We start from the raw sequence: 27,730 nt of genomic DNA on the forward strand, positions 1-27,730 counted from the left end.
AAGTCTTTCTTGAAGAGGCGACACAGGCTGGGTACTGAAAGCTGAGTAGGAGTTGGCCATTTGGGAGACAGGGAAGTGCTCTAAACAGAAGACACAGTTTGTGCAAGGATTTGGTGGGGATAAAATATCTGGTCAAAAAAAGCAAAAAGCAAAAATCTGGGCTGGGTAGGTTAAAGGAGTGGGAAAGGATTTCTGATTTCCTCTAGATTTGGTTTGGAGAAGCAGGGGGAAGGATGAGCGGGAATTGGGGCATGACCAGGATTGGAAATCAGGCTGAAGAGCTTGTACTAAGAGCTATGGAGGGTTCCTGAGGAGGGCGAGTGACCCTGTCAGACTTGGATTTGAAAATGATTCCTCTGGATTAGTTAAATCCAGGGGTGCTAGCTTAGCTAAGGAAGCGATGCATTTTTAGGGAGTAAAAGAGTGATTTTGAGCCTGGAGCACAGGGGAGAGGGCGGATGCTAAGGCCCAGGAAAGAGTGCTCTTGAACTTGGAAGGGCCCAGCTCCCCAAGACCAGCCTTCAGCCTTGATATGACCTGATTCAGCTAAACAAAGCTGGGGAGCGGGAATGAGACCTGGGGGACTTGTCGGCTCAGTGCCCCTGAGGTAACCATTAATCCTTCCCCTGGGGGAATCCAGGGGCTGGTTCCTGGATGGGGCAGATCCTGGGGAGAATGGAGGAGCACACAGAGGCAGGCTCGGCACCAGAGATGGGGGCCCAGAAGGCCCTGATTGACAATCCTGCTGACATCCTAGTCATTGCTGCATATTTCCTGCTGGTCATTGGCGTTGGCTTGTGGGTGAGAAGTTGGGGGGTGTGCTGCTGGTGGCTGCTGGCTTTGGGGGCCTGGGGGAAAAGTCTCAGGGGGACCCTAGGTGGGAGAATGATGCTTGGATCTTTGAAGGAGAAACCTAGGCCTGGGGGCAAGCAGGTCTTTGGAAGTTCTCAGGGAGACCCAGCCAACATTCCTCCCTTGTCTTCCCACTTTGGGACTGTGCTAGCTGAAGGGGTCCGCGGATTTTCATCAGGGTCGACATTCTAAATGGGGTCTCATTCCCCTGGCCACATTGTGGCTGACCAGCAGAAAATATTCAAGGTCCCCAGGAAGGTCAAGCCAAATCCACAAATGATAAATCCTGGGGAGTTGGGATGGAACTAGTGGCTCACACCTGTAATCCCAGCACTTTGGGAGGCCAAGGCAGGGGGATCACTGAGGCCAGGAGTTTGAGACCAGACTGGCCCACATGGTGAAACCGTATCTCTTTTTTATTTAAAAAATTTATTTTAAAAATTATTTACTTTTAAAGAGAGAGGGGTCTCACCATGTTGCCCAGGCTAGTCTTGAACTCTTAGGCTCAAGCAATCCTTCTGCCTCTGCCTCCCAAAGTGCTGGGATTACAGATGTGAGCCACTGTGCCTGGATGAGACCTTGTTTCTTAAAAAGAAAAAAGAAAAAAAAAGAAAGAAAGGAAAAATTAGTCAGGCATGGTGGTGTGTGTGCCTGTAGTCACAACTACTCGGAGGCCAAGGTGGGAAGATTGCTTGAGCCCAGGAGTTCAAGGCTGCAGTGAGCTATGATCATGTCACTGCACTCCAGCCTAGGAGACAGAGCGAGACCTTGTCTCTAAAAAGAAAGACAGATGTGGGGCTGGGTGCGGTGGTTCATGCCTCAGTACTTTGGGAGGCTGAGGCAGGTGAATTGCTTGAAGCCAGGAGTTCAAGGCCAGCCTGGCCAACATGGTGAAACCCTGTCTCTACTAAAATACACACACACACACACACACACACACACACGCACACACACACAAAAAGCTGGGTATAGTGGCGTGTGCCTATAATCCCAGCTACTTTGGAGGCTGAGGCATGAGAATTGCTTGAACCTGGGAGGTGGAGGTTGTAGTGAGCCAAAATCACACCACTGCACTCCAGCCTGGGCAACAAGAGCAAGACTCTGTCTCAAAAAATGAGAAAAAAAAAAAAAGAAAGAAAAAGAAAAAATATGTGAAAAAAACTGGGGGAATAGGACACTGGGATTAGAGCCTGGGTTGCCCTGAGTGTCTGGGAGGAGTTGGGGGTGGGAGTGCAAACGATCAGGGAAACTTGGCTCGTTAATCTTCAGCCAGAAACAAGGCTGAGGAATGTGTTGAGGTGGCTGATGAGGTCCAAGGCTGTGCCCTAAACCCAGGTCTCCCCCGCCTCTGTCTCCCAGTCCATGTGCAGAACCAACAGAGGCACTGTGGGCGGCTACTTCCTGGCAGGACGCAGCATGGTGTGGTGGCCGGTGAGACGGGCTGGGCCGGGAACGGGAGGGGCCTGGAGAAGCAGCCCTGCTCACTCCCTCCTCTGGCCACCCAGGTTGGGGCCTCTCTCTTCGCCAGCAACATCGGCAGTGGCCACTTTGTGGGCCTGGCAGGGACTGGCGCTGCAAGTGGCTTGGCTGTTGCTGGATTCGAGTGGAATGTGAGGCCCTCTTTTTTCCAATAACCCCACCCTCAGTGAGAACACCTGGAAGGGTCACACCTTGGGGAAACTCCAGGAAAGGGGGAATGAGACTGGCAGTGGGACTTCCCAACTGCGGGGTGTGACTGGGCTGGGAGTGGAGGTCATACATCTAGCCAGGAAGCAGAGGGGTGCAGGGGTGACCACTGTTGGTCCTGCTTCTGACTTGCCATGTGAGCCAGCCTGCACCAGCCACTGCCTCTGGGAGCTTCCATTTATTCCTCTCTGAGTGGGGTGAGCAGCCTCAAAGCCAGGGAAGCACCTGCTCAGATGCGCTCCGAAGCTGTGGTCTGTGAGGAATTTGGGGCCAAGTTAAAGCCCTTTGCAGAAGAGAGGAGCAGAGACAAAGCTCTGGGACTGAGGCTCCTGTTGGAGGGGAGATTGGGCTTTGAGCTCAGGGCTTCCTGGAGGAGGAGACTGCTGAGCTGATCCTTGAGGGACACAAGGTTTGGGTGGCTTTGGCTCAGGTCAGTCTGAGGGGTCTATGCTGGGGTTCATATCTAGATGATCATAGGGACAACATTGGGAAAAACGGGCCAGAAGTGATAGCCTGGGGAGACAAGGAGGGCTCCAGTTAAGAGCCCAGGAGGGTGTCAGCTCTGTTCCTTGGTGCCCAGGGCCCCGGGGCCATCACCTGCAGTTGTCCTCTGGGCCCCAGATGTGGCCCTTCCCAGGGCCACTTGCTTGGAGTAGCACCTTCACGAAGAGGTCAGATCCTCAGGGATGAGGGCAAAGCCACCCTCAGCGGCAGTACTGCCCCCCGTAGGCGCTCTTCGTGGTGCTGCTACTGGGCTGGCTGTTTGCACCCGTGTACCTGACAGCGGGGGTCATCACGATGCCACAGTACCTGCGCAAGCGCTTCGGCGGCCGCCGCATCCGCCTCTACCTGTCTGTGCTCTCCCTTTTCCTGTACATCTTCACCAAGATCTCAGTGAGTGCCTGTGGCAGATGCGATTGGGCCCTAGAAGGGTGGGGCTCAAGTGGGGTCTCTAGAGAACCCTAGAGGGCGTGAGACCTAGGAGAAACCACTGCGAGGGTTATGATGATGGAGGCAGAGCCTGCAATGAATGTCTCCGGGGCACCAGCTACAGTGCTGGGACCTGGAAAAATGGAGGGAAGCTTTGAGGCTAGTAGGGCATGGCCTGGGCAGGAGGTGGGCTGGGGACACTGCCCTGGGTCCTGACCTGGCACTTGCTTCTCCCCCAAGGTGGACATGTTCTCCGGAGCTGTATTCATCCAGCAGGCTCTGGGCTGGAACATCTATGCCTCCGTCATCGCGCTTCTGGGCATCACCATGATTTACACGGTGACAGGTGCCAGCAGGGGCTTAGGAAAGGGAGTGGGCCTGGGACACTGCTGCCAGCTGTGGCCAGGGTTTAGGGAGCTGCCAGAGGAAAGCAAGCTGGAGAGGTCTGGAAGGGTGGTGTGGTCCAAGCAGGAGAAGGAACTAAATCTTTGGAGAGCAAAGGCTTCCTCTCTTTCCACTGTCTCTTGGATTTTGACTGGAAGTTCAGAGAGAAAGCCATGCTGGGCTTGAGTGAGGACTTTGAGAAAAGGAAGATTTAGCAGCTCTTGCCTGCCTTGAACACCTGGGAGAGCACACCTGACGAGTCTCCAAGATCTCTGGCAAAACCCAGTATGGTTCATAGGGACCTGGGGTGGGGCCTGAGGTCAGATGCGGACCAGAGTAGGCAGGGCTTGGTGCCAAGGCCCGCTTGAGGGACCCACCTCCAGAAGGAACGGAACTGAGTATAGGACCTTAGACAATCATCCTCTCCTACGATGACGCAGAAAAAACTGGGGCCGGCTGGGAGCGGCTCACGCCTGTAATCCCAGCACTTTGGGAGGCCAAGGCGGGCGGATCACGCGGTCAGGAGTTTGAGACCAGCCTGGCCAACATGGTGAAACCCCGTCTCTACTAAAGATACAAAAAATTAGCTGGACGTGGTGGCCCGCCCCTGTAATCCCAGCTACTCGGGAGGCTGAGGCAGGAGAATTGCTTGAACCGGGCAGGCGGAAGTTGCAGTGAGCTGAGATCCACCATTGCACTCCAGCCTGGGCGACAGGGCAAGACTCCATCTCAAAAACAAAAACAAAAACAAACAAAACTGGGGCCTAGAGGGGGCTGCTAGTGGGGGTCCTGCAAGTAGGCGCCTGGCCCTAAAACTCAGCCACACTCTGCCCGCCAAGCCCTGCTTGTTGGTGCCTGCGTGCATGAGCCCCGAGAACAGGCTATCGTTTTGAAATTTATTCTCCAGGAAGGGGAACTCTTTCAAATTCCCACAAAGACGCCTTATTGCTAAGGCCAGCCTGTAACATAAACAGCTGGGCTGTCCCCTGACCCCGGCCTGTTGCAGGAGGGCTGGCCGCGCTGATGTACACGGACACGGTACAGACCTTCGTCATTCTGGGGGGCGCCTGCATCCTCATGGGTTACGGTAGGGGCTCGCCTACCAGGGAGGGGCGCGGAGGGCATGGTCGCGGAGCTCTCGGCCTGCGCGCGGGGCCGTTGCGCGTCTCCGGTCTGAGGGTCCTAAGGAGGGTCCCCTGACGGCCTTGCCCGGCAGCCTTCCACGAGGTGGGCGGGTATTCGGGTCTCTTCGACAAATACCTGGGAGCAGCGACTTCGCTGACGGTGTCCGAGGATCCAGCCGTGGGAAACATCTCCAGCTTCTGCTATCGACCCCGGCCCGACTCCTACCACCTGCTCCGGCACCCCGTGACCGGGGATCTGCCGTGGCCCGCGCTGCTCCTCGGACTCACAATCGTCTCGGGCTGGTACTGGTGCAGCGACCAGGTGCGGGTATAGGGCTGCGCCTGCAGTGAGGCCGGGGCGGAGCCGAGACGGGCGGAGCCTGAGTCCCTCCCCGCCTTCCCCACAACGGTCTAAGGCGCAGTCTGAGGGGCGGGAACCCCTCGGGTTGGTGCTAAACCAGACAGAAGGCTCCATCTACTCCAAGCGTGCAGCTGAACTTGGGGCACTCACGAGCCAGAGGCGGGGCACAGAGCGGAACGGGGCGCGGGGCGGGGCCGAGGGGAGGCCCGCAAGCGGGCAGCTGAACGCCCCTCCCGTAGGTCATCGTGCAGCGCTGCCTGGCCGGGAAGAGCCTGACCCACATCAAGGCGGGCTGCATCCTGTGTGGGTACCTGAAGCTGACGCCCATGTTTCTCATGGTCATGCCAGGCATGATCAGCCGCATTCTGTACCCAGGTAACATCCCTGCCCCGCCCCTTTCCTGTGCCAGCAACCGGGCGCCCGTCGCCCAGTTCCGTCACCCTCCTAAGACTCGGCAGTTTGGGCCCGGAGTCCCGCCTCCCTCCGGGGGTCGCACGCCTCCTCTGCTAGGATTCCCAGTCCCCACCTCCTGGGATTCCCAGACCAGGCCCCGTCCTAACGGCGCGGTGGCCTCTCTCTGGCAGACGAGGTGGCGTGCGTGGTGCCTGAGGTGTGCAGGCGCGTGTGCGGCACGGAGGTGGGCTGCTCCAACATCGCCTACCCGCGGCTCGTCGTGAAGCTCATGCCCAACGGTAAGGGCAGCCCCGGGCCACAGGCGCAAGCTCGCTGCGGAGCCCGCTGCTGGGAGGGGTCGTCCCTCGCGCAGCTGCAGCCGCCCTGGACCCCCAGTGGCCCCAGCCTCACGGCTGCCGTCGGCCCGCAGGTCTGCGCGGACTCATGCTGGCGGTCATGCTGGCCGCGCTCATGTCCTCGCTGGCCTCCATCTTCAACAGCAGCAGCACGCTCTTCACCATGGACATCTACACGCGCCTGCGGCCACGCGCCGGCGACCGCGAGCTGCTGCTGGTGGGACGGTGCGGCCTGGGCTCCCCTCCTCCCCAACGGATCAGCCCGGGGCGGGGGCTTGCGCACCTGCAGGGGAGCCCAGGGTCCGGGTTCGATCCGACGGCCTCCGCCGCAGGCTCTGGGTGGTGTTCATCGTGGTAGTGTCGGTGGCCTGGCTTCCCGTGGTGCAGGCGGCACAGGGCGGGCAGCTCTTCGATTACATCCAGGCAGTCTCTAGCTACCTGGCACCGCCCGTGTCCGCCGTCTTCGTGCTGGCGCTCTTCGTGCCGCGCGTTAATGAGCAGGTGAGCGGCACGCGCGTGGTGACGGCAGGGCTGGGCTTGCACATCCTCAGCAGGCTGACCTGTTTCCTTCGCAGGGCGCCTTCTGGGGACTCATCGGGGGCCTGCTGATGGGCCTGGCACGCCTGATTCCCGAGTTCTCCTTCGGCTCGGGCAGCTGTGTGCAGCCCTCGGCGTGCCCAGCTTTCCTCTGCGGCGTGCACTACCTCTACTTCGCCATTGTGCTGTTCTTCTGCTCTGGCCTCCTCACCCTCACGGTCTCCCTGTGCACCGCGCCCATCCCCAGAAAGCACGTGAGTGGCCAGGTGCCCCAGGCAAGCACTGTGGGACACAGCACCTACCCTCTGCTTCCTGGAGTGCCCAGCTGGGAGGACCTGAATTTCTCGACTGAGGGTTGGGAATGGGCTGGGGGTCCAGCTGCAGTTGCAATTGCCGAGCAAGAATTTTTATTTAAATACATTTATTTGAACCGGCCTGGGGGAGGCTTGATGTTGATGGGTTGGTGATTAAAGCCTCCCAAAGCCAATCCTTGGCATGGCCTTTGGGACTCAAAACACAGGATCTGACTGGTGGGCACAATACCATCTTGAACGCCCACAAAAAGGTTTGGTTTTGTTGCCAAAGGGCAGGTGGCTCCAGGCAGGGCTGATGGTGGCAGGGTGGGGTGAGGACAGGACAAGAGATCTGGGTGTGGAAGGATGGCCGGGTTTCTGCAGCAGCAGGAGGAAAGGGTGGGAGCACACAGGCACAGAACACTGTGAGCAGGACTGCCAGGCCAGTGTCACAAGCGCTACCATCTGGGTGTAGACAGACCTGAGCTGACAAAGCTGGGGGAGCAAGGCCAACGGCTTTAAACACAAGCTCAGGGGCTTGGGGTTTATCCCGAGGGCACAGGGCAGCCATGTAGGGTGGAGTTGGCATGAGTTAAGCCTGGGCTGGGTGTGTAGACTGGACAGAGGTGGGTAGGGCAGGCAGTGACGAGCTGGTGTGCAAGAGACTTTAGGGCCAGGCATGGGGGGACAGAACTCCCACCTCGTTCGTGCTCCCACCCTCCCCAGCTCCACCGCCTGGTCTTCAGTCTCCGGCATAGCAAGGAGGAACGGGAGGACCTGGATGCTGATGAGCAGCAAGGCTCCTCACTCCCTGTACAGAATGGGTGCCCAGAGAGTGCCATGGAGATGAATGGTAGGGCACCATGCTGGGAGGTGGGGCTGGAGGAGCTGAGTTCCCGCAAACTAACTGCAGGGCCTCAATTTCCCTCAGAGCCCCAGGCCCCGGCACCAAGCCTCTTCCGCCAGTGCCTGCTCTGGTTTTGTGGAATGAGCAGAGGTGGGGTGGGCAGTCCTCCGCCCCTTACCCAGGAGGAGGCAGCGGCAGCAGCCAGGCGGCTGGAGGACATCAGCGAGGACCCGAGCTGGGCCCGTGTGGTCAACCTCAATGCCCTGCTCATGATGGCAGTGGCCGTGTTCCTCTGGGGCTTCTATGCCTAAGACCAACTGCGTTGGACACCATAAGCCACAGCCTCACAGGAAGTGGGGGTGAGGAGCCTGCGGTGCTCCCCAGAAAAGGGGAAGGGGCAGTGGGGTGAGAAGGTCCTGGCTCCCCTTCTCCCGGCCTTCCTCTGCCTGGGGCCCACTGCATCTGATTGGCAGTCACTTCCCATGAGGGCCTGGCCCACCCGCTGCAGTTGCCCTAAGGAAAAATAAAGCTGCCTTTCCCCTGTCCTGCTGTGGCCAAAGTGTCCTTGCTCCAGGTTCCTGCCCTGGGCTTGGGCCTCCGTCTGGGCTGCTCACAAGACCTTCTTTTCGGGAGACAGAAGCCATGTGGCCCTCCACTCATCCACCTCTAGCTGGTGCTTCTCGGTCTTCCAGCCGGCATCCTGCAGTCCTGGGGAGAGATCATGGGGTGCTGCCGGGAATGCTGGGGACAAGGGTAAGGAGAGGCACAGGCTGGGTGCAGGCTTTGTGCACTACTGGGGCTCCCACTGCCTCTGCTGGGTGAGTATGGCATAAAATGAGGCTGAAACCACACCTGGCTGCAGCAAGAATTCGTTGAAATGGCACACAGAAGAGCGCTGGGATGGAACAGGCGCCAGACAAAACGTCCTCATCAGCCAATGTGAGGGCCTCCCTGCTCCATCCTCCCATTTCCTACATGCCAACTGGGATTACACAGACTGTCTACACTGATACCACTTCAAAGACCATTCTAAGCTCTCCGTCCTATAAACAGGGAAACTGAGTAACTGAGTCCCAAACTTAGGATTGCAGAGAGAATCCATCTTTTTTTTTTTTTTGAGATGGGGTCTCTGTCACCCAGGCTGGGGTACAGTGACACAATCTGGACTCACTGCAACCTCTGCCTCCTAGGCTCAAGTGATCCTCCCATCTCAGCCTCCTGACAGTCCCACAGGCGTGCATCACCATGCACAGCTAATTTTTTTATATTTTTGGTAGAGACAGGGTTTCACCATGTTGCCCAGGCTGGCCTTGAACTCCTGAGCTCAAGTATCTGCCCGCCTTGGCCTCCCAAAGTGCTGGGATTACAGGTGTGAGCCACTGTGCCCGACAGTCTTTTTTTTTTTTTTTTTTTTGAGAGAGGGTCTTGCTCTGTCACCCAGGCTGGTACAATCATGGCTCACTGTAGCCTCGACCTCCCCCAGTTCAGGTGATCCTCCCACCTCAGCCTCCTGAGTAGCTGCAACCACAAGAGCAGAACCACACCTGGCTAATTTTTGTGTTTTTTTTGTACAGACAAGGATTTGCCATGTTGCCCAGGCAGGGTCTCAAGCAATCTGCCCACTTAGGCCTCCCAAGGCACTAGAATCATAGGTGTGAGCCTCTGCACCAGGCCCAAGAACCCAAGTCTTTTACCTTTCAGGTGAAAGGGTGGGAGTGGGGGAAGGCGGGGCCCCCAGGGACAAGGCTTCAGGGGCCAAGCAGCCATGGGCTGAGGGATGTTACCTTTCAAGAACTTTGGGAACAGCATGTCCAACACTTCGTGTGTCTCCTTGACGACGACCCAGCTCTCTTTCTTAGGACCTGGGTACGGGGGTGCAGAACCAGAAGCTCTGTGTCCTCCAGCAGGACAGAGTTTGTCCTCTCTCCTCCCCACCCTGAGGCATCAGCAGTCTAAATCTTGAGGCACTTACCTGCCCGCACCCGGTTCCTCAGCTCCTCCAGCTCTGCTGGAAGGGGTCCATCTCCCTGCAGGGCCCCAAGCATCAGCCCATGTGTGGCGGCCCTTAGGATGGTCTTGGGGCCTGCCTTCTGGTTCAGAACTACCTGTACCTGGTCTGGAGGGACCCAGAGACAGACTGGTATCAGGGAAGGGCCACCTCCCAAACCCCTTCTATCCCATCACCCTGCTTCCCCTGTCTGCCCCAAGACCTTGGCCTGGCACGGAAGGCTAGCACCTCACCCTTTCCTTTCCAATTCATCTCCTGTTGCTCCCCAATGTTCGGGCCAAACTGACCAATTTCCAAATACAATTTCCCAGCCGCTCACTGGGCTGGGTCTATTTTGCATTTCTTTAATGGCTAGTGAGAATAAGCACCTTTTCACACTCAACCAGCGGACCAGCACACTCAAGGACTTGTTTACCCAAGAGGCAACCCAGGATGGAGAGAAGGGTGGTTTCCCACGGACAGCAAAGGTCATAGCCTTCCTAAGAGTGCTGCAATGTAGCTTTGCAGTCACATTATTTGATCCTCATAAAAACACCGCAAGGAATAAGGCAGGTACTGTTAGCTCTGTTTTACAAAGCGGTGACATGAATTTCACTGGGGCATTGCAGCTGTAATTTGAACGGTCTAGAGCAACCCCCAGAACAGGCAGCCTCCAAACTGCCCAGAGCTCGGGGCCCTAGGTTGGAGGAATGAGAGGCTGACCTGGGAGGGTGCGTCTTAGGCTGGGAGAATGAGGCACACTCACTTTGTGACTGGTCCCAGCAGAGGAGGTAGGATTCTTGGTGCCCCTCAACCAGCTGCTGCAGCTCAAAGACACTGTGGGGGAGAGGACAGTGCAGTGGGGGTGGAGGACAGCAAAGGCAGGCATGCCCAACCAGCCACTGAACAGCCACCCAGTGAACTGAAATGATCCAGGCTTCACTCAGGTCCCCTCGCTTCCTCTCTCCCTCAGCCATTACCCATACACACCAAATCCATCCTTTCTTCCTGTATCCAGTCATCCAACTTCCCCATCTACCCATCCTTCCTTCACCCATCAAGCACATCTCTTACATCTGCTTCATGTTATACACCCTTTCCTTCCTCACACACCCACACCAACCCCATGTCTGTTCAGCAGCAATGAAGAACCCAGGACAGAGAGGTGGGGCCTTGCCAGGGAGGCCAGTGTGTAATCGGAGTGAGGGGAGTGTGGGTGGCGGTGGTGACGAGCGGGAGACGCTAGGCCACTCACCTGGAGACCAAGCGGTGTAAGGGGACCCCCAGGGATAGAGACGGAGCTGGCCAGAAACCTGTGGGAAGCTGGGGTCAGGATGCCTAGGCAGTGGGAGAGGTTGAGACACAGGACCCGAGACCAGGGGCAGGGTCACCTGTCCACAGCGGCTCCATGCGATTGGCTGCAGTTGGGTCGAGTACCTCTCCCCTCTGAAGGTAGTGCTTCAGGACCAGCCGGAGCCGGCCTTCGTTCAAGGTCTCCATGACCAGGGCTCGGACCGCGCGGTAGTTGGCGTAGATGTGGAGGGCAGTGAGGAAGAAGAAACATCCAAGGCTGAAGCTGGGGTGAGAGAGTGAGGTAGCTGAAGTGGGCAGAGGCCCAGCTGGGGTTCTCCTGCCCACCCTGCTTCCGGCTTACCCAGGGCAACCTGACACCAGAGGGAGCATCAGGAGGCTGACCAAGAGCCCCGCCAGGTTCACCAGCGTCTCCTGGAAAATGGCAGAGGGAGAAGGAGTTGGAAGGTGCCCCTCCAGGCCAGACTGAGTGCCCGAGTGCCTTTCACCTCATCCTCCCTGCTCCACAACCTCCCAGGGCTCCTTACTGCAATGTGGGTAAATTTTTAGTTTTTGGTGGGTGAAATGTCATTTAAAAGATGCCAGCTCGAGGTGGCTCACACCTGTAGTACCAGCACTTTGGGAGGCTGAGGTGGGCAGATCACTTGAGTCCAGGAGCTTGAGACCAGCTTGGGCAACATAGTGGGACCCTATTTCTACAAAAAAATTAAAAATTTGGTGGGGCATAGTGGCTCGCGCCTGTAATCCTAGCAATCTGGGAGGCCGAGGTGGGCAGATTCCCTGAGCTCAGGAGTTCAAGACCAGCTTCGGCAACACGGTGAGACCCATTGCATTTTTGTAAAAATACAAAAAACTAGCCAGGTATGGTGGCGCGTGCCTCTACTCCCAGCTACTCAGGAGGCTGAACTGCTTGAGCCTGGGAGGTGGAGGTTGCAGTGAGCTGAGATCACGCCACTTCACTCCAGCCTGGGCAACAGAGCAAGACTGTCTCCAAAAAAGAAAAAAAAAAAAATTAAGCCATGATTGCACCACTGTACTCCAGCCTGGGAGACACAGTGATACCCTGTCTAAATACATATGTGTATCAGTTGCTTTTTTGCCCAGGTAGGTGCCCTCGGAATACCCTTGAACACATCTTGTCTTGCAAGTCACCAGAACAGACCCACACTCAGGCACTCACTAATGTGTACTTTTTTTTTTTTTTAAAGAGCGAGGGTCTCGCTCTGTCACCCAGGCTGGAGTGCAGTGGTGCAATCATAACTCACAGCCACCTCAAACTCCTGAGCTCAAGTGATCCTACCACCACGCCTCTGCTAATTATTACTGCATTTTTTGGTAAAGATGGGTCTTGCTATATTGCCCAGGCTGATCTTGAACTCCTGGGCTCAAGCAATCCCCACCTCAGCTTCCCAAAGTGCTGGGATAACAGGCATGAGCTGGAATAACTTTTATTTACTGATTTTAAAAAGTTGACTGCTCCCCTCCCACCAAGCTCCTTTGGTATGCAGTAACTGGCAGATAGATTTGCAAAGGGGTCAAGGAACCACCCGGGAAGAAAAGGAACAAGACCCACACCTCTTCCCTTGTGTATCAATGTTAGGAGAACACTCTGATGGCTGGATTGAGATCACTCTAGGGGAAGGGACCCCAGGCTACCTGCCCCCAACTCATCATGAGGGAGGAGTCTGGATTGGTGCCCCTGACTACTGGGCTCCCAGGGAGAGCTGGTCCTGGCATAGAGAGGACCCGAGACTGGAGAGCTCTTCTCAACCAGCCCTCCTGGGAAGGGCATATGCTGTGGGAATAAACGCTGTGGGTGTGGCAGGAAACTGGGGATCAGGGACCTGGGGAGTTCAGGAGCTCCTCTCTCCCAGGTGGGAAGAGTCATTTCCAGTGGCCACATCCAGTGACAGCAAAGCTGCACTGGCAGAAAGCTGGAGTCTGCTGCGGGACTGACACATTCCCAGGTTAGTCCCGGATATGTCCCTGGCTCTGTGGACCGAGGAAGCCCTGGGGTCTTGGGAAAAATGGCTTGGGGTTAGGGGGAGGTCTGGGGACCAGCGAGAGAACAGGAGAGGGACACCAGGCATGGAGCTGGGAGTCCTGCGGTGAGGGACCTGTGCTGTGCTTCCTGCTTGCTCCTTAACAGCCTGTGGACTTAGGTTCAGAAGAGACAATGGGTGGAATAAGCCCGAGCATCCTGAGAGAAGGGACTTCCCCAGGGGCCCCCAGGGAGATGGGACCTCTCCATGCTTTATTTCTTCATCTGTACTAAGGCAACCATGAGCATTTACTGCACATGCCCACTGTGAGAATTTAAAGAGTTCCCAGAACCAAAATACTTGGCACATGGTTAGTGCTTAATAAATATTAGCTTGGGTTAAGATTATTGAGCCAAACAATGGAAGAGAAGGCCAGAAAGTAGGAATGCACAGAACAGCAGTTTCTAAATTGCTTCAGTGTCAAAGAAAACCATCTCACACTTCTGGGACTTCCCTGGGCCTTAATTTCCTCATCTGTAAACTAGGGATAAAGTAGTACCTACCTCAAAGGGTTGGTGTGAGAGTTTGTTTGTTTTTGAGACAGGGTCTTGCTCTGTCACCTGGGCTGGAGTGCAGTGGGGTGATCTTAGCTCACCACAGCCTCCACCTCCTGAGCTCGAGGCTGGGACTACAGGTGTGCACCACCACACCTAGCTGAAGTTTCTTTTATATATTATGTAGAGATGGGGTCTCGCCGGGTTGCCCAGGCTGGTTTCAAACTCCTGGCCTCAAGTGATCCTCCCACCTCAGCCTCCCAAAGTGCTAGGATGACAGGCGTGAGAGTTAAGTGATGCAGTACACGTAAGCACTCAGCACGGGGTTTGTAGAGGTCTAATCCATGCGGAGTTCAGCCTTAGGGGTGTCCCTACCCCAACTCCAGGCTCCCTAGGGTGGGCAAGGGGGCTGGGCCAGCAGGCCTGCTAAACTGCTGAGTGGAGGCCCCAGCCAGTGACCCAGCAACCCCACATGCTGGGTAACTCTGACTTGCCAATTGCCTTGACATGTGGGGCCTCATGTGATCAGAACATCCAGCTTGCACGGTGGGGTCTGAAGAGGGCAAGGCTGAGGGCTTGCTCTCAGCCACACAGGTGGCGGGCAGGGCCTGAGATCAGCTCGGACTTGCCGCCACCAGAGCCCAAACCCCTACTCCTGCCTGGGTGTCTTGAGTCAGCAGGGAGCACCCATACTTCTTCCTGTGTGTTCCTGGGCCCTCCAGGGCACTCAAGTGGCTTCTCTCCCCTTCCCCTCCCCACTCCACGCCCTCCCTCCAGCTCTGGCACTCACCTGGCTGCTGTCCTTGGCTGACACGTCAGCCATGTTGTTCCTCCGAGCCTGGTGCACGGTCAGGGCAGCCCGAGTGGCCCCACCAGCAACACTCACGATGCACTGGGTGGGAGGGGAAGAGAGAAGGTTGGCAGAGACACGTGTCCTGGTAACACAGGCACTCAGACCAGCTGGAGAAAACCTGGCCCCGGCCAAACTCTGAATGCTGTCCTTGGCATCTAGTTCTCACCTTGATGCCCCCTAGGCTCAACTTCCCTGTCCTGTTCTAGGAAACTGGAGTCCCACCTGCCACTATCACCTTGGGGACTGGCCTCACAGAAGCTCAATTTCATTCCCCAAGGTGGAGGCCCAAAGATCATTCTCAGCCCAGAACTCCCAGCCCTCCAGCTCCTGCTTGGGCTATACCCTCCCCATTACTGGCGGGAGGCTCAGGCTGGTTTCCAGCTTCATGCTTACATCTGCCTCCTGTAATTCCTCTACTCTCCTCCTGCCCCAGTTAAAGCTGTCGAAACCTACACTGATGGCCCTGACCTCCCAGGGTACCCAGATCTCTCCCTCTGAGATCGCAGGATAAAGCTAATCAAGGAGGGTCACTGGTCACTCACAATCATCCCGAGTTCATCAAAGCTCTTTTACTTATTACTATTTTTATTTATCCTTAGTTTTTGAATACAGACAGAGTCTCCCTGTGTTGCCCAGGCGGGCCTGGAACTCCTGGGCTCAAGAGATCTTCCCACGCCAACCTCCCAAAGTGCTGGGATTACAGGCGTGAGCCACCGCCCCTGGCTGAGGGCTCTTTTAGATGCCAGACATAGACTTAGGTGCTGTGATACAAGTCAGACCCAGGCCCTGCCCTCATGGAGCATACAGATCAACAGATAATAAACAAATAAACAAGTTAATACGCAGGCAGAGGAAACAGTCTGTTCAAAGGCCAGAGGAACGAGGGACAAAGTGAGGGCGAAGTGGCTGGCAGGGACCTGACCACACGGAGCCTGGCAAGCCTGGTGAAGGTCTTTCCCTAAGAGCAATGGAGCAGCAGAGTGACCTGATTGCTTTCCTCTTTGAAAGGATCACTGGGCTGCTCTGAGAGAGGAGCGGCACGGAGGCTACCTGGGAAGCAACGGTGCTCTCTCAGCAGTGAGAGGTGGTGACAGGAAGATGGAGGAGAGAATGGACTGGAGATTTTGAGGAGGGAAAAATAACAGAACTGAAGGTTCAGCCGAAGGTGACAGATAAGGGGAAGGGGGAAGAGGAGGAGGTGGTGGCAGTGGTGGTGGCGGCAGCATAGATGACAGCCAGGCTGGCTTCTCTTGGTGCAGCTGGAGATGGAGGTTGTGGAGAGGGGAACTCTAGAGAGGGGTCTTAAGAGGGAAGCTCATGGCCCTGTTCCATTCCCTTGTTGGACAGATGAAGAGACTGAAGTCTCAAAGGCAGAGTTTGAAGCAAAAGCCAGATGGCACAACCCTCGGTCCATAGCTACAGCCATGCTTTTCTCTGGGGTTTCCTACCCTGTTTAGGGGTGCTCGTAGCATTTAGGCTTGCAACCAAGGAAGCTAAATGTCCTCTACCACAAGGAACCGTTGCACCCCAAATGCTAGTACTTATGGAGAAACACGGCCCTAACGTGATTTTAAGTTGACACATGGGCCTTGGAATGGGTTTTCCATTTTCTTGAGTTTCTCCTCTGGGCCAGGGACTTAACTCTGACAGGATATGCTCTTTACTGAACCATGCCAGGCCTCAGTGTCCTCATTTGGGTGAGATCAACCTGCAAGGGTTGTGCAGGCAACAGCTTGGCGTGGAGGAAGAGTGTGCTTGAGCCCCGCGTGTCCCCCAGCTCACTGTGCGGTCTGTGCTCCATCTCCACCTCGCCTCCAGACCTTAAGCTGTGCTGTTTCTTTTGCCCGGAACACCCGCCCTGCACCTTAAACTCCATCTTCAGGACCCAGGCTCAGGGGAGCTCTTCCTACACTCCCTGACCAGGCTGGAATCCCCGCCTCAGCCTCTTGCAGGCCCCAACATTTCTCATTTAGAATACCTGTACCTATAATTCCACAAACACTGGTGCAATTATGTGTGGTTTCCTTTCAAAGACGGGGGCCCACATTCTGTGCCAAATATGCAGTAGGCACTCAATAAATACTGTACTGAAAGAACCAAAGGGAAGTCAAGGAAGCTGGTCCCAAAATGTCAACATTGGACAACCCCTTCTAGTTCTCAGCTCGGAGCTCCCTCCCCAGTCCTGTGGCTCTAGACATTGCCTTACACTTTCTGGGGCACTAGATGCTGTCTGGCTGGAGGAGGGTCAGAAAGGATGGTTGGGTTCGAGTAGAAACATCTGAACTTTCTTATTCTTCTTGAAGTGGCAGGTAAACTCACAGAGCCCAGGTAAACTCACACACTACCAAGGCAGGTGTTTTAGGCAGATGGGTGCCCCCACAGGCAGCTACCTTGGCTAGGTTGCTGGTGGAGACGGTCATGGTGAAACAGATTGGGTATACAGGAGCCATAATCTCAAGGAACATGGCTACGTCATTGAGGATGTCCGCAAAAAGCCTGGGGAGGGATCAGAGGTTAGAGGTCAGAGGTAGGAGACTTTCATAATGGAAGACTCCCCTCCCCCGTCCCCGCCCCTCCTCACCTCCACTGCTTGGCATTGCAGTCCAGTTTGCTCCTGTTGGGGAGGAGAGGTTGTTGTAATTTGGACTTAAGGAGAAACACATCCTATGGGCAGTGTGGGGAGTCTTGGACCACAGTAAAGTCTGAAGAGCTCAGGAAAACCCACACCCCCAGACAGACATCTGTCCCCACAGCCGGTCACTGCTACCTAAAATGCCACCATTAGCTGGGAGAACCTTCAGTGACTGACTGATCACCTAGTGTCTCCCGCTTATGAACTCATGATTTACCAAGGAAAAACCCTGATTGTCTTGTGGCTGCTCCCCAGCCTCTGTCTGTCCTTGGAGGGAGGCTCTTCCTGAGTTCCTCTGCCTCTCTCCGTTCTTCTTCTTGCTTTAGAGTGAGGGTACCCAGTGAGCATGTTTTGGACTAGTAAACATCACATTGAGTGTGTAACCCTGCATGTTACAGACAACTAGCCCTCACAGGGGATATGATTTCCCTGGATCACACGCAGAGTTGGGGAAAAGGCTAAGAGAGCCGGGCTCCGACATCCAGGCCTAGGGTACTTCTGTTACACAACACCGTGGACGGCTACCTCACCTGCCCTTTTCGTCAGACAGTGACTCCCTGCCCTGTGCACAAACACTTGGAAACAACTTCTCTAGGGTCCCAGTGGCAGGAGATACTGCAGCCCCAGCCCAGCTCAGGATTTGCAGCATTAGGCCCGAGTCTCAGTATGAGATCTCCTGGAGGGAATGGGAATATTCTTGGGAGAGGTATCAGACACACATAACGAGATCCTGAACACATGGCCTGGTTGAGGGTTCTGCCCAGTGAACTGCCCAATACCATGGAAAGCACAGGCTTCAGGTTCAAATCCCATCTCGCTAGTTATAAGCTGTGTGGTTTGGGCAGGTAACTTCCCTCATGCAGGTATATTTCACATTTATGAAATGTACACATCCAATCCCATCCTACAGAGTTGCTGTAAGGATTAGAGACAACATACAGAGGCTCAGGGGGCACAGTTACAGCTGTTAATGGTAGCTAGTGTTTACTGAGCCATTATGTACGATGCCACGGGCATTAAGCACTTTGCATAGATCATCTCATGGAACCCTTACAGCCACAATTAATGGCAATACTATTACTATCATTACTACCACTACTGGGAAGAGTTGCCAGAGTTGCTGGCCGGGAAGACAAACTCACCCTTTCCACCAGGCAAAGACGATGCGGCCCAGCATGCCAGTTGAATCTGGGGGAAAGAAGGCACAGGTAAGGAGCAAGGAAGAGGTGTGGGAGCTGTGGGGCCTGGCAGACCCTGGCACTGAACTGGCCAATTCACTGAGTCACTGCCTTTGGGAACTCGGTCTGGTACTAGAAGTTGTGGATAGTCATAGCTACATAATGGGGTCAGAAGTGCCTACAAATAGCAGTTCCTCAATATGTCCCCTAGGAGACATGGACAAGAAATGTTCTTTGCAGAATTGTTCATAACAGCAAAAAACCTGGGAATAATGCAAATGTTGACTGACAGAATACATAAATTCTAGTATATTCACCCAGAGGCATTCATTCATAGATGAATACTATTAAACTCTTGCATGAAAATAACTCATGAAGACCACATACAGCACAGTTTGCAAAGCTCTAAAATTAAAACTAAACAATATAGCACTTAGGAATATTTACCTATTTGGTAAAACTATTCAAAAAAGCAGGAAATCTTAAGTGGAAATTCAAAGGTTATTGCTAACCTGTTCTAGCTCTTAGGCTGGGCAGTTGGCTCACAGATGGCTATTATGGGATAAATAAATAAAAGGATTTAGGCTGGGTATGGTGGCTCAGGCCTATAATCCCAGCACTTTGGGATTACAGGGGGTTTGGGCCCAGGGACTGCTTGAGGCCAGGAGTTCAAGACCAGCCTGGGCAACACAGCAAGACCCCATCTCTACAAAAAGTAGGAAAGAAATTAGCCAGGCATGGTGGCATGCCTGTAGTCCCAGCTACTTGGGAGGCTGAGGCGGAAGGATGGCTTGAACTCAGGATCAATGCTGCAGTGAGCTATGATCATGTCACTGCACTCCAGCCTGGATGACAGAGCAAGACCCAGTCTCAGGAAAAAAAAAAAAAAAAAGATTTGAACTGCAGCTGGGGTTGCACGGCAGAGGGACAGGCCTCCTTAGGCTGGGCAGAGTAAGAGAAGTCTCTGGAATCAGTGGGACCTTCGTTTGCACAACAAATGCTTTCTGGCTACCTAACTCTCTCTGCCAGGTACTTCATGACCACAGTGACCAAGATGATCCCAGGGTCAAAATCCAGCCAAAGAGCAGATAACAATCAGTATAGAAAACACTGATTTAGACCAGGAATCACTAAACTGTTTCTACTCCCTGGTTTTGGAAATAAAGTATTACTGGAATGCAGCCATGCCTATTTGTTTACAGATTGTCTATAGCTGTTTTTGCAAGACAATGACAGAACTGAGTTGCTGCAACTAAGATTATAAAGCCTGCAAAGCATTAAGATCTGGCCCTTTACAGAAAAAGTTTGTCAATCTGGACCATCCATTATACAGAGAGCAGCACCCATTAAGCCTGGCAGAAATATTTTAGAACGAGACACCTGGGAGGGACTCATACAGTGGACATGGGAGAGGACAGATACCATGGGGAGAGGATTTGGACTTGTCTGAGCTTGAGGGCACTGACCCTGAGGTGGGGATGTAGGAGAAAGGACACTACGTTATGGGAATGAGGGCTGGGAGCTTCCCACGAAACATAAATGCAATGACACGGGCCAGCCCTCCCATTCTCCACTGAGAGCAGATGCATTCTCCCCTTTCCAGAGCCTTCTTGGGCACTGAGTCATGCTTGCCCACCCTGGACTTGAGGGAAATCAGTAAGCGCTCCAGTGCACACCTGAAATACCTGTGCTTTTTCATCTTCACAATGATCCTGAGACTTTGGGAGGGATCATTCCCCTTCACTAAGGCTCCCATTAAATCGGTGAATAAAATTGAGGTATTTTACAAGAAAATATGGATTTCCAGCTTCTCTGGAAGAACCTGAAGATATGGCCACACTGGGGCTGCCCTCTCTCACGGCCAGCATCAGCTGGGGCTACCTCACTGAAGGAAAGCATGGGTCCAAGCTACTGCCATCTGGCCTGCTTTGTTTCTCCATTTCTGTCCTGACTCTGGAAGTAACACCCAACAAGGTGGATTTACAGGCCTCCCATCCCTCACTTTAACCTCTTCCCTTCAAGTACATTATATTCTCGGCAAAATCATCATTGTGCCAGCCACCACACCTGGCTAACTTTTGTATTTTTAGTAGAGATGGGGTTTCACCATGTTGGCCAGGCCAGTATCAAACTCCTGACCTCAGGTGATCCACCCGCCTCGGCCTTCCGAAGTGTTGGGATTATAGGCGTGAGCCACTGTGCCCAGCTCAGACTCTATTTTTCTTCCCTTTAGCTACACACTTGTATCCACTCAGGTGTATGTCCTCCTTGGGCCACCTGACAGAAAGGGAGCCTATTCTACCTTTCCATGGATCATCAGAGGCATTTACAGGACAAATGATATATATACTCCCTAGCATCTGAGTCACTACTGTCCACTAGAATAGAAAACTCCCACTTGCTTTTTTTTCCTCTTCATTTACAACTGGCCAAGCTGTAAGATCTAGAAACATCTGAGTCCTAATAAGGAATCAGCTGACCACAAATTGTACTTGGCTCCACTTGACATTCTTAGCTGGCAAAAGAGTGTGGTAGTTAAGAGTAGAACACAGGAATAAGTCTGCCTAGGTCAAAATCATGGCCCTAAGTGACCTTGGACAAGTTACTTAAACACACTTTTGTCTCTGTTTTTCCATCTAAAAAATGAATAATGGCAGCTAACTAATATGGCTGCTGCAGAGATCAAGACACATATTACATGTAACCATACAAAATGTGTGGCTTAAGGTAGGTTGCCAAAATATTAGCAACAAGTTTTATTACTATTGCTACTCATGACAACTGGCATCACGTTCCACTGAGACAGGTAACTGAAAATGATCACATCAAAAAATCCCAAGTAAGTTTCTCAGATGAAGCTCTGCACAGAAATTTCCCATGTTTGATGAAAATGAGCTTGTAAAATCCTAATTGAGAGCTTCTTTTACTATCAATAACAAGCCTTTATTTATTTATTTTTTTAGATGGAGTTTCACTCGTTGCCCAGGCTGGAGTGCAATGGCGCAATCTCGGCTCACCACAACCTCCGCCTACTAGGTTCAAGTGATTCTCCTACCTCAGCCTCCTGTGTAGCTGGGATTACAGGTGCACACAACCATGCCTGGCTAATTTTGTATTATTAGTAGAGAGGGGGTTTCTCCATGTTGGTCAGGCTGGTCTCGAACTCCTGACCTCAGGTTATCCGCCTGCCTCAGCCTCCCAAAGTGCTGGGATCATAGGCGTGAGCCACCGCACCTGGCCAATAACAAGCCTTTTAAGTAGATTTTTCATCCTTTTTCTTTGAGACAGGGTCTCAGTCTGTCATCCAGGCTGGACTACAGGTGCCTGCCACCACGCCTGGCCAATTTTTGAGTTTTTTGTTAGAGACGGGGTTAAACCATATTGGCCAGGGTGGTGTCCAACTCCTGACCCCAAGTGATCCACCTGCCTCTGCCTCCCAATGTGCTGGGATTATAGGCGTGAGCCACGGCACCTGGCCTTTCTTTTTTTTTTTCATATCTTAAAGTGATCTTGATTTTTCTTAATAACTTGTCTGAGCTAAAGGTTTAGCGTTCCTTTTTTGTTTCAGACAGGATACTGCTCTGCTGCCCAGGCTGGAGTGCAGTGGCACTATCTCGGTTCAGTGCAACCTCCACTTCCTGGGTTCAAGTGATTTTCCTGCCGCTGCTTCCTGAGTAGCTGGGATTCCAGGCACGTGCCACCATGCCTGGCTAATCTTTGTATTTTTAGTACAGATGGCGTTTTACCATGTTGGCTAGGCTGGTCTTGAGCATCTGACCTCAACTGATCTGCCGACCTTGGCCCCCCATCCCAAAGTGCTGGGATTACAGGGATGAGCCACCATGCCCGGCCAAGGTTAAGCATTCCTAATCCAAAAACCTAAAATCTGAAATGCTCCAAAACCTGCAGCTTTTGGGAGTGCAGACACGATGCCACCAGTAGAAACAGCCGATGGTGAAATAGCACAAACTGTTCTTGTAGGGAAAAGAAAGAGATCAGACTGTTACTGTGTCTATGTAGAAGAGGAGGACATAAGAAACTCCATTTTGATCTGTACTAAGAAAATTGTTTTGCCTTGAGATGCTGTTAATCTGTAACTTTAGCGCCAACCCTATGCTCACAGAAATGTGCTGTATGGAATCAAGGTTTAAGAGATCTAGGGCGGTGCAGGATGTGTCTTGTTAACAATATGTTTACAGGCAGTATGCTTCATAAAAGTCATTGCCATTCTCCATTCTCGATTAACCAGGGGCACAATGCACTGTGGAAAGCCACAGGGACCTCTGCCCAAGAAAGCCTGGATACTGTCCAAGGCTTCCCCCTACTGAGACAGCCTGAGATGTGGCCTCGTGGGAAGGAAAAGACCTGACTGTTCCCCAGCCCGACACCTGTAAAGGGTCTGTGCTGAGGAGGATTAGGAGAGATATGCTGGCGGCAATGCTGCTCTGCTACTCTGCTACACTGAGATGTCTGGGTGGAGAGAAGCATAAGTCTGGCCTACGTGCACATCCGGGCACAGTACCTTCCCTTGAACTTATTTGTGACAGATTCCTTTGCTCGCATGTTTTCCTGCTGACCTTCTCCCCACTATCACCCTGTTCTCCTGCCGCATTCCCCTTGCCGAGATAGTGAAAATAGTAATCAATACTGAGGGAATTCAGAGACCAGTGCTGGTGCTGGTCCTCCGCATGCTGAGTGCCGGTCCCCTGGGCCCACTGTTCTTTCTCTATACTCTGTCTCTGTGTCTTATTTCTTTTCTCAGTCTCTCGTCCCACCTGATGAGAAATACCCACAGTGTGGAAGGGCTGGCCTCCTTCAGTTCTGAATCAAGGCAATCATGGTAACAGTGACAATGAAGAGGATACTGTTACCACTACAGAAAAAGTGCCTATAGACAGCACGGTGAGGATGTGGGAGGGGATTACTGTGGCACTAGAGCAGCATACATTCATAACGGAACAAGAAATCAGGCAGTTTATAGAATCCAAGAGAGACTTCTAAGATAGAAACCACAGTTAATGAGGCAAATGACTCTGGAGGAAACATTTTAAAAAGCCATCCAGCAGAACACTTCCTCATCCCTAGAGGACCCGCTTCCTGTCCTTCAACTGCTTCTAATGTTTCTTCTCACCTTAAAAAAATAAAATATGGTGTCCAGTAACCTTTTCACCAAAACAGCTGAAGACTGACAGCCTGCCGTTTTTGTTGCTGCTGCTATGGTTCAGAAGCTGATACAGGTGTTCTGGTGATCTGCTGTGCTGCTTAGTTACCCTGAACACACAATTTCTCACTGTATTAGTGGTATATCATGTTTTATACTGTTAAGTACTTCTGTGTGAATAGGTATAAGAAAATGACTGCTTCTTGGTAGCATATACATTCAGAGTCAGGAACGATGGGGACGCTAACCAACCAGATTGTCCACGTGTGGCTGAGACAGTGACATCTTTGCTTTCTGATGGATCAATGAACACAAACTTTGTTTCATGCACACCATTGAAAATACTGTATAAAACTGCCTTTAAGGTATGTGTATAAAGTATATATGAAACATAAACGAATTTCATGTTTAGACTTGAGTCTGATCCCCAACAAATCTCATTATATACATGAAGATATTCCAAAATCCAAAAAAAATTCCAAAATCCAAAACACTTCTGGTTGCAAGCATTTTGGATAAGGGATATTCAATCTGTATAGGCAACATGTTGGTGACATCACATGAAAACAAAAACTACTGACCCAAGCTCCAAATGCATTCCAAAAATACGGCCAACAAGCCGGGCGCAGTGGCTCACGCCTATAATCCCAGCACTTTGGGAAGCTGAGGCGAATGGATCACCCGAAGTCAGGAGTTCGAGACCAGCCTGGCCAACATGGTGAAACTCTGTCTCTACTAAAAATACAAAAAATTAGCGGGGCAGGGTGGCACATGCCTGTAATCCCAGCTACTTGGGAAGCTGAGGCAGGAGAATCGCTTGAACCCGGGAGGAGGAGGCTGCAGTGAGCTGAGATTGTGCCACTGCACTCCTGCATCCCAGCCTGGGTGACAGTGAGACTACGAGTCTGGAAAAAAAAAAATAGAGATGGGGGTCTCCCTATGTTGCCCAGGATGCCTCAGCCTCCCAAAGTACGAGGATTAAAGGCGTGAGCCACCGTGCCCGGCCCAGTTTTCTCAGTCTTAATGGTAAAGGTGTAAACAGGAAGCTCCTGTTTTCTCAAAAAAATCCAGAGAGGCTCACAAGGGATGTGGCCAGACTGATGCTACGAATGGAAAGCGCTTTTCCTTAGATCTATTAGGTTGGCTCAAATGTAATTGCGGGTTTTCCATTACCTTTAATGGCAATAACGACAAAGAAACCCCGCAATTACTTTTGCACCAGCCTAATAAATATCCCCTGCGAGCAGTAGTGAAAGACAAAGGACAGTGGCAAAAGCCATGGGGCCTCCTCGTGTAGAACATGTAACAATTTCCCTTTTCTGTTCTATTTCCCTCTCTGGGTGGCATGGTACCAAACTGTATTTTTTTTCCTTAAACAATTTTTTAAAAGCTGTACATATTCAGCAGATAGTCACTCTATTATTTACAGCATCATCTGGTATCCCAGAGCATACACAATACCTTCCATTCTTTCCAGGCTCTCCTCTCTCCTTCTCAGGACCAACTATATCTTTTTTTTCTGGAGCTCACCAATTTCCCCTATCCTGGGCAGCTGGCAGTTTTATTCCATCAATTGCATTCTTATGCAATCTTCCACAAAGAGAATAGGGATAAAGGGGAGGGGACGGGATTTGGGATCCAGATGATTGAGACTCAGAAGTCTGTGTGGGGAATGGAGTGCGGCTGCTAGGCTGGTGAGTGGGATGAGGGTCTTCCAGATGTGGGAAGTAAGACTGGGTTACAAAGCACCACTCTAATCACTGGGGAGACCTGCCTGAATTCTACCTAATGGGGCACGAGTCCATACATATATACACATAAGAGCCCAGCGAAAGCAGGGCTGAAAGCAGCAATACGTGAGGCTCCAGGGGTGCAGCTCACCTTTCACGAGCCAGGTGGCCGTGGCAGCTGAAACAGTGGCTTTTGCGTTCCCCACCCCTATGCCCAGCAAGACTGCCTGGGTGGCTAGGGAGCCGGAGAGGCTGGAAGCAAACGCCTGGAGAAGAAAACAAGTAGGGTGAGAAGCGGGCGTAGGAGCGTGGCGGTCTAAGTGCCTTCATCTGTTCTTGTTCTTGGTGTATGAGGCATGTCAGACCCCCCGCCCCCCGGGCTCCGAGTCTCAGTCACCCGTCCATTATTGGGGAGGGAGGAGTGGCCTGCACTGTCCTCTGCCCCAGACGACCGAGCTGACCTGCACGGAATCCCACAGCTGGTAGGGCAAGTAGTCCGGGCTGACGCTATCAGGGAAGCCCTGAGGCAGGAACACGGCCTGGAGCCCGGAGAGGGGCGGTGAGGGGGCCCCGGAAGCCCCCACTTCGCCCGCATCTCGTCCTTCAGGTTTGACCGTGAAGGCCCTGGAGAGCCCCCACCAGCGCCAGCCCCCGACCTCCCACTGCAGGCTCCCGTCCGCGGCGGCGCGGCAGCCCCGTGCCTCCCCGGAGCCGAACTGCTCGGAACACAGCGGGGTCTCCAAACCCGCGTCGTCAGCCATGCCGAGCTTTTGGATCCCAGCCCCGCCCCTGCCGCACGGTGGACGTGGCAGGCGGCACTTCCGGCTGGGCTACCGCGGCTGCAGAGGGACATCTTTCAAGAACAGGCGCCGGCCTCGGCGTCCGCCGCGCAGTTAGGAAACTGACTGTCGCTCTCTCCGGCCTCGGCGCTGCTTCGGACGCCCCGGCACCGGCCCCCGTTGCTTTGTAGCATTCTGCAGCTGGGCTGCAGGCGCCGTGGGCCTCCGCCAGTTGTGTTCGAGACGCGGTTCGGCCACAGAAGTTTTAGCTTGTGACTTTTGGCAAGTCAGTGGCCCTCTCTGGGCCTCAGGTGCCTTTTTTGCTGTGAGACCAGCGACTGTATTTTTAACCCTGATTTTATCCCTAGATCTACCCAACACATAGTAGGTGCTCAAAAGATATTTATGAGTGAATGAATGCATCATGAGAAGAAATTGGACCAGATGAGGCCCTGTGAAGCTGCTTGGGTCTTTTTTTGTTCTTTTTTTTTTCTCTCTTCTGAGTGTCCCTGGCCTGGACTAGAAATTCTCCATCCTTCGGCCTTCTGCGAGACTGCAGGAACATTACTTTTGAAGGATGCTAAGGAATCCGAGGGATGAAAAAAATCAAGAGATTGCAATGATGTCACAAAACAAGGAAACAAGGCAGGAAGTTCTTGTGTGTTTTTTTGCGGGAGAGAGTCCATGAAATTGGGGGGAGTCCAAAGAGGGAGTGTTTCTGTCCTTGGAACTCACCTTTTCTTCTTTCCATTTCTCCTCTTCTCCTTCCCATCTAGTGCAGCATCTTCACTCCGAAGCAGAAATTTGCCAAAAAAGCATCCTCTTTTTATCAGAAAATAAAATATCCTGGTTTCTTAGCCTGGCATTCTTGGATCCCCACAGTTTGATCCCAACCGACAACTCCTTATTTGAAACTTCAGATTCTCCCAAACCGTCACCTTCCTCGTGGACTTAATCCTGGAAGGCCCTTCTACCCCACTTCGCCTTATCTCACACAAACACAGTCTCTCTCTGACTGAGATAAACTTGAACACTTCTTTTCTTTTCTTTTTTTTTTTCTTTAAATTTCGGGTTTCAAAATACAAATGGCCTAATCACAACATTTCTGTAATGTTGTCTAAATTCAGGTACTGGTTTGAATAGAGGACAAAAATAAAACAAGGTTTGAAGACTAAGTACTTTAAAAACATATTTATTTAAATAGAGGCAGGGCCTCCCTATGTTGCCCAGGCTGCTCTCAAACTCCTGGCCTCAAAAGTGATCCTTGGGCTGGGCGTGGTGGCTCACGCCTGTAATTCCAGCACTTTGGGAAGTCGAGCCAGGTGGATCACTTGAGGTCAGGAGTTTAAGACCAGCCTGGCCAACATGTTGAAACCCCATCTCTACTAAAAATACAAAAATTAGCTGGGCGTGGGGGTGGTGTGGCCATAATCCCAGCTATCCGGGAGGCGGAGGCAAGAAAATCGCTTGAACCGTGCAGTTGTCATTAACTCCGTGTTTGTTATCTCTTTTTTACCAATGGTTTGCCAGTTTCTTCTACAAATACCTGTTGCTACCTATGTGCTCATTGGGATAGTGAGCAAAAACAAACAAGGGTCTTGGTCTTTTGGAACTTATATTAGGGAAGGATATTGATCAAATCATACAAATAAATGCAAAGTTGGAACTATTTCAATTGCTGTAGAGGGGTACATGTTATTTAATATGAGGACTTTTAGAAGGAGAATTGAGCTAATCAGTGGAATCAAGGGAAACTTTTTTTTTTGAGATGGAGTCTCCCTCTGTCACCCAGGCTGGAGT

The 27,730-nt window shown here is 52.7% G+C and overlaps 2 protein-coding genes and 1 long non-coding RNA gene across 8 annotated transcripts, besides 8 other annotated features; 2 read left to right on the forward strand and 1 right to left on the reverse strand.

The window, feature by feature from the left end:
• Positions 662-8,308, forward strand: SLC5A2 (solute carrier family 5 member 2). Of its 4 annotated transcripts, NM_003041.4 has the most exons (14): positions 662-801; positions 2,212-2,283; positions 2,358-2,462; positions 3,268-3,432; positions 3,709-3,814; positions 4,859-4,939; positions 5,069-5,298; positions 5,577-5,712; positions 5,922-6,029; positions 6,161-6,311; positions 6,419-6,587; positions 6,662-6,877; positions 7,643-7,769; positions 7,848-8,308. In NM_003041.4, the coding sequence occupies exons 1-14, from the start codon at positions 676-678 to the stop codon at positions 8,072-8,074; spliced, it is 2,019 nt and encodes a 672-aa protein (NP_003032.1). In that variant the 5' UTR covers positions 662-675; the 3' UTR covers positions 8,075-8,308. The 4 variants fall into 4 exon arrangements, 3 of the variants coding, with proteins under 3 accessions (NP_003032.1, XP_006721135.3, XP_024306170.2); XM_006721072.5 differs by having other exon boundaries at positions 7,643-8,308; NR_130783.2 differs by lacking the exons at positions 6,161-6,311; positions 6,419-6,587.
• Positions 5,270-5,429: a silencer, noted in NCBI's record as "silent region_7421". NCBI's record gives its function as "represses an Ori minimal core promoter by ATAC-STARR-seq in GM12878 lymphoblastoid cells {active_cell/tissue: GM12878}" and the evidence as "EXISTENCE:reporter gene assay evidence [ECO:0000049][PMID:35858748]".
• Positions 6,427-7,086: an enhancer, noted in NCBI's record as "H3K27ac-H3K4me1 hESC enhancer chr16:31500209-31500868 (GRCh37/hg19 assembly coordinates)". NCBI's record gives its function as "activates a minimal SCP1, AML or CMV promoter by ChIP-STARR-seq in naive H9 embryonic stem cells {active_cell/tissue: H9 hESC(naive)}" and the evidence as "EXISTENCE:reporter gene assay evidence [ECO:0000049][PMID:30033119]".
• Positions 7,014-25,930, reverse strand: RUSF1 (RUS family member 1). 2 transcript variants are annotated; one of them, NM_022744.4, is made up of 13 exons: positions 25,613-25,930; positions 25,303-25,417; positions 18,225-18,270; positions 17,032-17,064; positions 16,841-16,946; positions 14,388-14,489; positions 11,405-11,475; positions 11,142-11,326; positions 11,006-11,063; positions 10,517-10,587; positions 9,736-9,879; positions 9,548-9,625; positions 7,014-8,471 (listed from the first exon to the last, which is right to left on the reverse strand). In NM_022744.4, the coding sequence occupies exons 1-13, from the start codon at positions 25,910-25,912 to the stop codon at positions 8,374-8,376; spliced, it is 1,407 nt and encodes a 468-aa protein (NP_073581.2). In that variant the 5' UTR covers positions 25,913-25,930; the 3' UTR covers positions 7,014-8,373. The 2 variants fall into 2 exon arrangements, with proteins under 2 accessions (NP_073581.2, XP_047290452.1); XM_047434496.1 differs by lacking the exons at positions 7,014-8,471; positions 9,548-9,625; positions 11,006-11,063 and having other exon boundaries at positions 9,845-9,879.
• Positions 24,916-25,631: an enhancer, noted in NCBI's record as "NANOG-H3K27ac-H3K4me1 hESC enhancer chr16:31518698-31519413 (GRCh37/hg19 assembly coordinates)". NCBI's record gives its function as "activates a minimal SCP1, AML or CMV promoter by ChIP-STARR-seq in primed H9 embryonic stem cells {active_cell/tissue: H9 hESC(primed)}" and the evidence as "EXISTENCE:reporter gene assay evidence [ECO:0000049][PMID:30033119]".
• Positions 25,632-26,346: an enhancer, noted in NCBI's record as "NANOG-H3K27ac-H3K4me1 hESC enhancer chr16:31519414-31520128 (GRCh37/hg19 assembly coordinates)". NCBI's record gives its function as "activates a minimal SCP1, AML or CMV promoter by ChIP-STARR-seq in primed H9 embryonic stem cells {active_cell/tissue: H9 hESC(primed)}" and the evidence as "EXISTENCE:reporter gene assay evidence [ECO:0000049][PMID:30033119]".
• Positions 25,632-26,480: a biological region, named in NCBI's record as "NANOG-H3K27ac-H3K4me1 hESC enhancer GRCh37_chr16:31519414-31520128".
• Positions 25,641-25,700: a silencer, noted in NCBI's record as "silent region_7422". NCBI's record gives its function as "represses an Ori minimal core promoter by ATAC-STARR-seq in GM12878 lymphoblastoid cells {active_cell/tissue: GM12878}" and the evidence as "EXISTENCE:reporter gene assay evidence [ECO:0000049][PMID:35858748]".
• Positions 25,761-25,810: a silencer, noted in NCBI's record as "silent region_7423". NCBI's record gives its function as "represses an Ori minimal core promoter by ATAC-STARR-seq in GM12878 lymphoblastoid cells {active_cell/tissue: GM12878}" and the evidence as "EXISTENCE:reporter gene assay evidence [ECO:0000049][PMID:35858748]".
• Positions 25,911-26,480: an enhancer, noted in NCBI's record as "active region_10765". NCBI's record gives its function as "activates an Ori minimal core promoter by ATAC-STARR-seq in GM12878 lymphoblastoid cells {active_cell/tissue: GM12878}" and the evidence as "EXISTENCE:reporter gene assay evidence [ECO:0000049][PMID:35858748]".
• Positions 26,003-27,105, forward strand: RUSF1-DT (RUSF1 divergent transcript). 2 transcript variants are annotated; one of them, NR_186400.1, is made up of 2 exons: positions 26,003-26,575; positions 26,707-27,105. It is a non-coding gene; the product is annotated as an RUSF1 divergent transcript (long non-coding RNA). The 2 variants fall into 2 exon arrangements; NR_186401.1 differs by having other exon boundaries at positions 26,712-27,105.

This window comes from Homo sapiens, chromosome 16 (genome assembly GCF_000001405.40).
Source record: "Homo sapiens chromosome 16, GRCh38.p14 Primary Assembly".
Lineage (NCBI taxonomy): Eukaryota > Metazoa > Chordata > Mammalia > Primates > Hominidae > Homo > Homo sapiens.